This window comes from Homo sapiens, chromosome 9 (genome assembly GCF_000001405.40).
Source record: "Homo sapiens chromosome 9, GRCh38.p14 Primary Assembly".
NCBI classification, from domain to species: Eukaryota; Metazoa; Chordata; class Mammalia; order Primates; family Hominidae; genus Homo; species Homo sapiens.
The window spans coordinates 19,998,309-20,010,000 of NC_000009.12; the positions used below are offsets into that span (position 1 = coordinate 19,998,309).

The window sequence follows — 11,692 nt, forward strand, 5'->3', positions numbered from 1 at the left end:
CTCGCCCACACATACCCTGTTTTGAGCTCAACTTCCTTCTGGCAGCAGTACTTCCTGAAGCCTGTCAATGATTCACTTCCGGGTCACCTCTACCCTCTGTGAGCCTTGTGAGACATTTTAAATGCCAGAGCCACATTCATTCATTGTAGCTCCAGCATTTCTTTTCCTAGGGACATGCTATTTTCATTAGGATTAAAACAGCCCCCAGCAATAAATATTAAAAACCTGCCCAGTGAAAAGAGCAGCTTCCTCAGAAGCTTATGAGGATTAGAATTTTTAAGCAGGCCCCGCTTCCTATGACCACCCCTCTTCTCCATCCCTTTGTGTGCTCCCACATGGGTGTGCTTTCAGCATCAATCAGATTTGCTGTTTTGCTCAAATCCGTTCATACTAATTGTCTGCCCATATTGCTGTGTGCTCTGGACAGAATGGTCTGGGAGAAATAGAAACTCACTCCTTCTCCCACCCCTGGGGGGATTCAGATTTTGTGTGCTTGATCTTTGTTGGTGGCAAGATAAAAATGCTTGCTATACATAGCAGCTTTCCTCCTTCATGTTCAACGGCAGCCCTGATGATGGGGGACCTCAGCCATCCTATTTGTTCTAAAGCCACCCACAGAAGAATCAGACCAGCAGAAGCCAGAAATAAGCTAGCTGGGGCTGCAAGTCTCTTTGTGTGTGGTGATATAGCAGAGAGACTTGGGAAAGTCAATTATTTTCAGTATGAGTTTTGGTTCCACTGCTTCATGGTGTAAGATGGGGATCCCCAATTTGTTCATCTGTAAAATGAAGATGCTAATGCCTACCCACTGGGGCTATTGGGAGAATTAAAGACCTATATAAAGTGTTTAGTGCAAGACTTGGAGCAGGGAGCCACGGCTTTGCCTGTCACTCCTTCGCCTCCCTGGCTGGAAGCCTGAGTAGTAGGTGAGGCATTTATTATCCATGTTCATTAACATCCCTGAAGACTTGTGGTTCCTGTATTGAAAACCACACTGAGTGTTCCCAGTTAATTGGGTGTCCTTGGGCCTGAGTTTCTCTACACAAATATATGAGCTTGGGATTTTTAAAAAGTATACAGTAATTATATTCTTGGACAAATGGTACCTTTTCTAGAAAAGCACAGAGAATTCTTTCAGCACTCAGGGCTAGGTAGGAATTGCTTGATGTATGGGTAGCAACTCATAGTAACTAATGATTTACAATAAATACTCCAACAAAGAAAAGTCTGAGTAAACTCTATATTTCATCCTCATGGCAATGAGCTACAAAAGGTTTGCATTTTAAATCAACTGGTGGTTGTACCCCAGAAGGATGTGGTCTAAATAGATTTGTGTGACAGGGTAATTACTCATCACGGAAAGGATCCCAGCTGTCATCATGGTTTCTCACTAAGCAGTCAGTGAGTGAGCAGTTATGGAATTACAGGGCTGACCTCCTGTGTCCTGCCTTACAGTCATCCTGAGCCAGAGTCACAGAGTTTCATCAGGGGGACCCAGGAGGCACAAAGCAGTCAACACCCATGGCTGAGAATCAAAGTCTAGAAGGGGCCTGTTTTCAACCTCTTCATCCGGGTCACTGGTGGCAATTTTGCCAAGTGACTAAAGAGCTAGACTAGGAGTTCCCCAGTTCAGGGTCTTAATGGCCTGAATGTTCAAGACAGTGTGGAGAGGTTCAGAGACTGCAGTCTTTGGGGTTACACAGACCTGTGCTGGAGTCTCAGTCTTTGGGGTTACACAGACCTGTGCTGCTGCTCACTTTGTGATCGATCTGCAACTAAAAAACCACATTTCTCTGATTTACTATTTTTCTAGCTGTAAAATGGAGGTAATAATTCCTACTTTAAAAGATTTTAAACTAGTATGTATGGAAATGGTTGGCACTTAATGAACATTATTATTTCACCTTTTGAAGTACCATTAGGTGCCAGAAACTGTGCTAAGCATATTACATGGACTTTGCTCATAACAGTTCCCTATTTTATGGATAAGGAATTGGAGGAATCTTGCCCAAGTAGCTAGTATGCAGCTAGTTAGTAGCAGAGACAGAATTTGACCTAGGCAGGTTGGATCCAGACTGCCCTATAATCATCAGAGGGTGAAAACATACCTTCAACTGGAGTTTCAGAGACTTTTGTGCCAGTTCTTGATAAACATTGTATAGGTATAAACTCTATCTTCAAAAAGTTTATCCAGTCTCATTGGAGGACAAGGGAGAAACATCAGAACACAAACGGCCCTGAGAATAGACCACCTGGCAACAAACAATAACTGCTGTAGGAGCTCAGTGAAGATCAGGAACTCACGACACATGGATCTCTTCTCCCGCAGTCTCCATATCTGCCACATTTTTTTGCACTGGAGTTTCTTATGTGTCAGTGTTATATAATTTTAAGGCTCTGATTTTGAACTAAAGAATGGACCCCAGTTTTGCCTTAAGCATAAAGACAGGAAATATACATGCCCTAGAGACTAAGTTAACAGTAAAATGTGAGACTGTTCCTCCTCTATACACAGAGAAAACTTTCATGGGAAAAACAGGATCACTGTTGAGACAGAAAAGTTATGTATGAGAGGGTGTGGAGGACGGAAGGAGGCAGGAAGCATAACTTGGAATTATTGCTTTTTAAGCTTAGAAGGGTCATCTGACCCTAATGGATAGTAAGATGAATATTATCTTGGTATCCAAGAGCAAAGATCACGTTTTGAGGCCCTTTCTCTCCCCATCCATTGCTCTAATGGGCCCACCCTCACTTTAAAAATAAACAATCAAATGCAAACGTGGCAGTTGCATTTTGTGGGCCACAAAGGAGAAAGTTAAAGCCTGGAGGATCAGCACTTCGTTTCTGATGGCAGAGCCTGCATTGTCCCTGCTGCGCCACACATCCTGTCCTCTTAGATCCAGCAATGAGTGGGCTGAGGATAGGAGGGAGTGTGCATCCACCTTCCTGCAAAGCTGCAGGTTTACCTGTGGAGAGTGCTCTGCATGCCTCACAACGCACCCTCTCACCCTCCTGGCACTCTATTTTGGCTCAGGTCTGCATGGAGAGAAGGGAACTGTCCTGCGGAAGAAATCTGGAAGGGGGTTAAGCCTAGCAGGAAGGGGAAGAAGCCAAGGCAACCAATTAATTTTCCTTTGCTGCTTAAATCATTCTCGCCCAATCTGCTGAGCTGAGAATAAGCATAACTGTCCCCAAGGTGTCAAGGCCCTGCCTTTTTTGGGTAAATCACATGGGAATCAAAAATAGAACCACTGTGAAAAAAGGCGTCTCAGTCCACCCTCCACTGGCAATGGCTGAGTTTGGTGGATATTCATCTCTATTCCATGTCATCCGCCAACTTTGAGGCCTGCTTGCCACATCACCAAAGAGGTTGCTAAGCATCTTCCTACCGAGTCTTTAAGATTTGTTACATGGATTTGGGCATTATACAGACATGTCTTTTATTTATGATGCCTCTGGTTAAAGGTTGCCTCTCCCAAAGAAAAAAAGCTTCACAAAGCAACACCTACTTTGATCCAGCACTAAAATATTTAGTAGAGTGCTATCTCCCAAAATGTGTTTATTGAAACATCAGTTCTGTGATATATTCCCAGAAAAATGTACTTCATGGAAAATATGTAAGTCCACATAAGAATACTAAAGGTAAGAATACTGTTTATGTGAGTTTAATACAGCATTTCTAAAATTTATTTATTGATAGAATTCTTTTGATTTTCAAAAGTTTGAGGCAGTCCTCAGGGCTGAGGACTAAAGCCCTGCTTTAGTGGAACATACTTAGGTAAATGCTGATGAATCCACAAGGATTGTTTTAGTACCACCACCTCTGGTGCAGAGACAAGCATTCTGCTTGTCACCACAAGATTTCAACATCGGAAGAGTAATAGTAATACCAATAGCACTACCATTTCACCCCAACTCTGTGTCTACGTAGGCTGTTGAGCCAGCACTGATGTACCAGTAGTTGAAAGGTGTCTCTGAGCAATGCACAAAAGGCTGCCATGTTAGAAAAATGATTAGCACTTTATTCTACCAAAAGGCTTACTGCAAGCTACAAACCTTTTTTTTTTTTTTTTTTCAGTAACAATTATTAGTTTGGTACCCTTTTGAAAAGATAATAGCATAACACCAGGAAAATCTACTCAGGGTATAATCAGGCATAAGCACAAAAGGAGTGTCACTGCACTTACTGTTAAAACAAACTCAGGTACCCTTATTAGACCCATTTTGTAGATGAGTAAACTGAAGATAACATACTTCAATGTCCCACTGCTGGTACATCACAGAGTTAGGACTTGAACTCAGGCAATCATAGTTGAGAGCTCACTCTCTTAACCACAGATGGGACAGGTAAATGATGGAAACTCCAGACTGGTGCACTCACAGTGACTGTCACCAAGGAGGTCACAGAAGTTTCTGGTTTGTCTTCTTCCATATATAGAACAGCCAAACACTTCTGGATTTTTCCTCCCTCCTTGCCCACTGCCCATGTCTGGTGGTTTCAGGAGGGGACAACAGCAGGGCTGGCTGTATTCCACATAACAGGGTTTTTCTTAGCTGTAGCCTCCACACACATCCTCCACCTACCTGTAGGGCTGACTCTACGGATGTACAACCAATACATTCACAAATGGCCCCGTGTTTAGATGGCTCTGTGCTTGGTTTAATGGTCTGTTGTCAGCATCCTGAAATTCTTAATAGCTTTCGAAAAGGGGACCTGTACTAGGCCCCATAAATGATAAATCTGGTTCTGCCTGCCTATTTGGCATTCATTTTGTTTGTTGAATTAGATATGGTGGTGAGGGAAGGATTTTGTGTAACAAATCTATATGAGAGGATTCCCCCAAAATGTATAAAGAATGGTCACTGCAGATAATATATGGCAACTAACCAAACACTTGAACACGTAACACACTTATACAAAACTATGCCCATGACCACAGGCAAAATGATGCTTGTAAGACTCTAATCCAGCAATTAGCCACATAGCCACATATCCACAAGTCAGCCAAAATCCACTCTTGTTTTCTCTGTCGATATGGTGAGCATGCTATTGTCAGAGAGAAATGCACCACTGTAGGAGAAACTACTTCGTCTTATGAGATTTGATTTAGAAATTTCAAGCTATCAAAATGTTCCTACATTTTGGTACAGTAGTCCTACTTTGGGGAATTTAGACTCAGGAAATCCTTTTTTTTTAAAGTATGAACCCTCATATTCCTTGAGGTATTAGTAAGAAGACAAGAGAAAACCCCCCAAATGTTCAAAAACGGGGTATGATTAAATAAATTATAGATTCCACTTGATAGAATGAATGTCAGGGGTTGGCATTTAAAGGGCCAGGCAGTAAATACTTTATGCTTGTGGGTCATAGGGTTTCTGTCACAACTACTAGCTCTGCTGTTGTAGCATGAAAGCAGCCATGGGCAATACAAAAATGAATGGATGTAGCTGTATTCCAATAAAACTTTATTTATAAAAACAGGTAGTGGACCAGATTTGACTGGCAAGAAGTAGCTTGCCAATGCCTAGTACTATCATTTAAATGGTGATTATGAAGACTGCCTGAATGTGGGATGTTTAACGAAAAAAAAAAAAAACAGGATAAAAACTTGTGTGACCATAATGATTACAACTGCATATATGTATATGTCTATGTGTATAGAAAAATCTGGGGAAAAAACCTTACATATATGTAATTAGTTGGGCTAGAGTGCTAGGATTCTGGGTAATTTTCTTTTCTTTGCCCTGAGAGAGATTTTCTCAGCCTTGATATTCTTTCACATACAGAATACTGACTATGTATAAAACAGGTATAGACACAGACCCCTTCTAATGAGTACCAGCTAACAAGCACCTAATAGATGATAAGGGAGCATGGGCTGCACTCATGCAATCGCCATTTGCTTCATAACCTTTGCTTCCCAAATACTTAGCCTCCTACCTTTGGAGGTTTCCTTCCATTGGCCTAACACCAGACATGGGCAGGACATTTTTGTTGACCGGTGTTCAGCTGGGCCTATGACCACTCTGTTGGTCAGGCTTTTCCAGGGAAGCTGGTCATAAAACAGCAGCTGAGCACCTGCAGTGGGAAGAGTGGGGAAAGAGAAGTGACATTGTGACATTCTTTAAGAGGAAAAAGTATAGTCCTAACTATCTTATCATGAATCCATCCAGTTAATAACAGAATATAGGCTGCCATAAATTTGTGTATGAGACTACCTGCCTAAAGACTCTCATTTTGTTTTATTGAACAATGGGATGATCTCCATTAGTGGATTTCACCATATACAGATGTAGTAAAAATCATTAATATATTTAAATTTGTTGAGCTGGAGTTTTATAAGGGATTTTTTCCTTGAGGAAATTGATTTGGTTTTGTATATGTGTTCATGGCAATATGATATATCTTGTCTCATTAAATTCAAAGAATGAAGGATTATAACAAAACAAAGTAGGCACTGCTTTTATGAAGCATGCCCAACAATGTGCTGTGAAGATGATGATTTTTTTTTTTCTTCCTTTGGGATTTCATAATTGAACCTGAGTTGATGTAAAGAGGAGATTTCTGAATGAGGAAAACTTGAAAACAATATCACTTTTTTTGAAAAAAAAGAAGCATCTGTTTTCTTTATCCTTGAAGTATCTGATACTAAATAAGAGATTTTCTCTTTATTGCTCCAGTCTATTGGTTATCACAATGAAATAATTTCCTAAACCATACCTTTGTTACTGGTTGTCAGCGAAATAGTTATGCTATGTCCAAATATGGGCATTAAAACTTAACATCAAATCCATAGAAAGGAGGGTGTCTAGAGAAAAGTGTCTTTAATTGTAATCTACATGCACCTGATAATCACCTCAAAAATTAATTAATAATTACCATTCACTTTATCCATAATTAATCACAAAGTCAAGCAAATTGGAAAGCCCTTTTTCATTTGAACAAATTGTTGGACTTGGGAAATTATCCCATAGCAAGAACTGGGGCAAAGATGACTAACCTCCTGGCAATCCTAAAAGTGTTTAAGGAATCAAAATAATTAAAAAAACAAATTTTGAGGGCTTACTCTGTGTCTAATATTGTGCTGAGGACTTTACATATGTTAGCTTGTTTAATCTTCACAGTGGCCTAAGGAATAGACGCTGATATTGTACCCATTTTACAGATGAGGAAATACACAATAAGATTAAGTATCTTGCTTAAGATCACAAAGTTACTACATTGCTGAGCAAAGACTTGAACTCAAGTTTCTGAGACTCTAAAATTTCATTTTTTACCTAGTTCATTATACTGCCAAACCAAAGGGAAGGTTCTAAAGGATGAGGTGGGGTGGGGTGGGACAGGGTATTTCTTAAGTGCATCAAGGGAGGGTTCTCCCAGGAAGTTCTATTAGATGTAAATGGAGAAAAATAATTTTACATTGTTTGTAGAACATGAAATTATGCTGAAGCCAAAGGCCAGTGATTTAACCAGGTGCTAAAGAGAGCATGTAAATGGGAAAATCATGAATAGTCAAAAATAATCAAGAACTCCGAGATCCCATTCCCTACTCCATTAAAAAAAAAAAAAGACAGAAAAGAAACAAGTTTATTTGTCATATGAAAATAACCCAAAGTGAGGGTAGGGCATAGGGTCAGCTGATAGCCAGCATATCAGTACCTCCTTTTAGGAAATTTGTATATATATTCTGTCATACCACATATATATGCTTATGTACACACAAACATAGTCACATATTAAAATACCCAATTTATCTGGCTTAATAAGAAACTACATGATATACATAGTAGAATACAATATATACACATAGTATGTTAATTAATCAAGAATATATTTTATATATACCTACTTTTCATATTTATATATTAATATGTAATTAAATTTAAAAATTAAGCAAATAAAAATGTATTCTAAATTTATCTACTTTCTATATTTCCATATTCATGTTATTAAATACTAATTTAATATGCAATTAAATGTATATTAATTGCTCAGAGTATTCATCAGAAACATGAAGGGTAGTGGGTGAGGGGAGGGGGGATGGTTAATGGGTACAAAATATAACTAGATAGAATGAATAAGATCTAGTATTTGATAGCACAACAAGATGACTACAGTCAAAAATAATTTATTGTACATTTTTAAATAACTAAGAGTATAATTGGATGTTTGTAACACAAAAAAGGATAAATGCTTGAGGGGATGAATAGCCATTTATCTGGCTGTGATTATTAAGCATTGCATGCCTGTATCAAAATATCTCATATACCCCATAAATATACAAAACTACTATGTACCCACAAAAATTAAAAAATAAAAATAAAAATATTCTGTTCAAAATTCATGACTTTAGACCTCATCAAGGCCTAGGGAATTCTCTGTCTCTCCATTACATGACACCAGACTACCATGCTCTTTGAAATCTAAAGTCTGAAATTTTAGGGGCAGTCTATACAGTATCAAGAAAAATCGTGTATGCCTTGGTACTACAAAGATCTGGAATTGACTCCCAACTGTGTGTTCCTGTGTAAGTTGCTTAAGTTTTGCAAGCCTAACTTTTTTTATTTATAAAATGGGTACACAGTGCTTGCCTTCCTAAAAGCATTACTGTGAGGATAAAAGAAAATACATATCAAGGACCTATAACAAAAGTGAGTGCTCAGTAAGTAGAAATTATTTTTACTACATCACTGTTTGTGTCAACATCCTTGCTTTCTACTGTGGGTGTTGCTTTCTCTAGTAAAATCCCAACTCTTAATTAGCTGACTGTATCATGCTAAGGACTGGTAAATCAGATGACAGCTGATAAAGTTTACTAGAATTATGCCCACAGTAAGAATAAATGGGCTCTGAGCAAATAAAAAACAGTTTTCACAAGATCAATTTTGACTGTTGAAAATCAGACTCCCTGCTGCAGTGCTCTGTTCTAGAATCTTGAAAAGAGATGTAATAGGTTTCATCTTCTGTGCCAACAGTGATCTCTTGGAAGTGGCTGCTGGTAATGCTGGGTTGAAAAGGATTCTGCACCTGAGTCCTACTTTAGGGTGAAAAGGTGCATTGATTAACTGGTAATGTCTGCCTTGGCAAGGGAAGGGGGTGGGGTAATTTGTGTGACATATGCGCCCCATGTTTTCTAAGTCTAATCTAGGTTCTCAGGCTCTCCAAATCAGTTACCTTTATATAAATGGTGTATACATGTGTGAATATATATGTATATAAATTCATATACATAAATCCATATAGGTGTTTATAAATCCATTTATGAGTATATAAAGTAACTACTTTATTGAAAAATCTGAATGCAATGGGGATTTCAACATGAAACTATTTTATGTTTCACTAATCACTCTTCTCAACAGTTACATCAGAAGTCCCTTTGGGCATATTCCATTAGTTTCTGTTAAATTTAGTTATTTAAAATAGAATTAGTTCAGCACAGTTTTAAAGTCTAATCCCAAAACTATTATAAATCTCCTGTCCTCTTCTGCAGCACAAGCTTGATGTGTATTTTAAGAGACTTGCACAGGTGAGGGCAAGTGGGCTTCTCTTTTAATTCTTCTTACTCCTCTCTTTTTTTTTTTTTTTTTTTTTTTTTTTTTTTTTTTTGACAGAGCCTCACTCTGTTGCCCAGGCTGGAGTGAAGTGGCATGATCTCGGTTCACTGCAATACCCACCTCCTGGGTTCAAGCGATTCTCCTGCCTCAGTCCCCCGAGTAGCTGAGACTACAGGTGCGCACCACCATGCCCAGGTAATTTTTCTATTTTTAATAGAGACGGGGTTTTGCCACATTGGCCAGGCTGGTCTTGAACTCCTGACCTCAAGTGATCCACCCACCTCAGCCTCCCAAAGTGCTGAGATTACAGGCTTAAGCCACTGCGCCTGGCCCCTCTTCCCTCTCTTAAGCCTGACTCTGGGCTATGTCCTCTCCCCACCCCTATCCACTTGTGGGTCTCTGTATCCTTTGGGAAGAGGAGCTGGGAGGGGAACAAGGGAGAGGATGAGGTGTCTCGCTGGCTGTCTACAGAGGTGTCTTTGGACTCACTCTGTCTTCGCCTGGCTCTGTCTGCCACTGGTGACTTCTGTACATGGATATTCTCTATTGGTTTTAGAGGATGGTGGTGAACTTCACTCTACTTCTTCATTGCTGAAGGATAACTGTATCTACATTTGTCTCCCACCACAGTTCCATACTTCCAACCCCCTTTCCAGATGAGGCAACTCTCACTACATAGCCACCTTGGCAGCTCCATGACTTCTGCTTCCTGTACTGGTGCCCTGGAGAAATCCTCTTATATTCCCTAAAAGGTAGAGTGTGCTCCCATCTTCTTCCCAGGAATATGACATCTTTGTAGTCCAGCCTGCTATCTTCAGAGACTCTAGGAAAGAAGCAGCCTCTAGACTCTATATTCACTCATGCCCCAAATTCCAAATTCCAGAGGTTGCATTGAGTTCTCCCACTTACTCCACTTCCATCCTCTACTCTACCCCACTGGCAGCACTCAGGGCCTTCAGTTTCCCAGTTCAGAAGAACATGCAGAGAGTGATGTTGGCAAGACGGGAAGAATAGGAGTTCTCCGGCTTCACTCTCCCCCACAGAAATCCAACTGGCAACTGTCCACAGGCAAGAATACCATCCTGAATATCCAAGAACTCAGGAGTGAGGCTGAGACACCCCCTTAGACTGCAGAACTGAAAAAAGCTATGATTCAATGGTAAGAGAAATGGTTCTCATTGAGCATACTCCTCCTTCCTTAAGCTAGCATAGTGCCATGCACAAAGAATTCTGGACTCATGGTTTCTATAGTGGGAAAAGTGAGTTGGAGGTGGACATTCAGCCTCCCCACCATTCTGGGACCCTGTGAAAGAGGCTCACTCCAGTCTCATCCTATGGGAAACACTGAGAGTAACAGCAGGGCTATACCACCTGGGGTCAGTTAGAAATAAAGAATGGGGGTGTTTAGCTACTCTGGAGGCTGAGGCATGAGAATCACTTGAACCCAGAAGGCAGAGGTTTTAGTGAGCTGAGATTGGGTTGCTGCATTCTAGCCTGGGTGACAGACTGAACTCTGTCTCAAAAAAAAAAAAAAAAAAAAAAGCGGGCGGGTGATAGAGTTCACAGCAACCATCACACAAATCTTGGTAGTTGCTCTGAACTTTGGCCAATGGAGCAATGGAGGTGCCACATCAGAGAAACTACCCAATAGCATCACACTACAGAAAACATGGTCCACAGGTCCTTTAGCATTGAATCCCTAGCCAGCTTCTCCACACAGCCCAAGTGCTCTCCCTAAGTCTTCCCTAGGTCGAGAGGCAACTGTAGGTCAGTAATGACCAGAGAAAGGAACATCTGTCCCTGTCCAATGCTAGTAGTGGAGAGGTAACCCAACTAAGCCCTGGTTCTCACATTAAGCCTTTCCCAAGTCAGGAGGCAACCGGCAATTACCTGGGGAGGGAGCATCTGGCCCTGCCCAACTCCAGCTGCAGCATGATTACTCAACCAAACCTCAGTGTTCTGGTTAAGCTTCCTCTAGGCCAGCAGGCAAGCCCATACCCACACATATCTGTGGAGCAGAGCCTGTGGCCCTGCCCACCTTGTGTGGCCAAACAACAAGCCCAGAGACCTCACTCAACCTTGGAGTCCATTGCATGGCCATGCTGAACCACAAATTCCAAACAATAATACTGTCTAG

The 11,692-nt window shown here is 40.6% G+C and overlaps 1 protein-coding gene across 1 annotated transcript in view, besides 1 other annotated feature; it reads right to left on the bottom strand.

Moving 5' to 3' along the window:
• Nucleotides 1-11,692, bottom strand: part of SLC24A2 (solute carrier family 24 member 2) — an 800,438-nt gene that overhangs the window by 490,854 nt on the left and 297,892 nt on the right. Inside the window, exon 3 of the mRNA XM_017014592.2 lies at nt 5,942-6,079. The gene's annotated coding sequence lies outside the window, so the exon portion shown is untranslated. The remainder of the gene's footprint in view (nt 1-5,941; nt 6,080-11,692) is intronic.
• Nucleotides 992-2,191: an enhancer, noted in NCBI's record as "MED14-independent group 3 enhancer chr9:19999298-20000497 (GRCh37/hg19 assembly coordinates)". NCBI's record gives its function as "activates an origin of replication core promoter dependent on BRD2, BRD4, P300/CBP and CDK7 cofactors, and independent of MED14, by STARR-seq in HCT116 cells {active_cell/tissue: HCT116}" and the evidence as "EXISTENCE:reporter gene assay evidence [ECO:0000049][PMID:35650434]".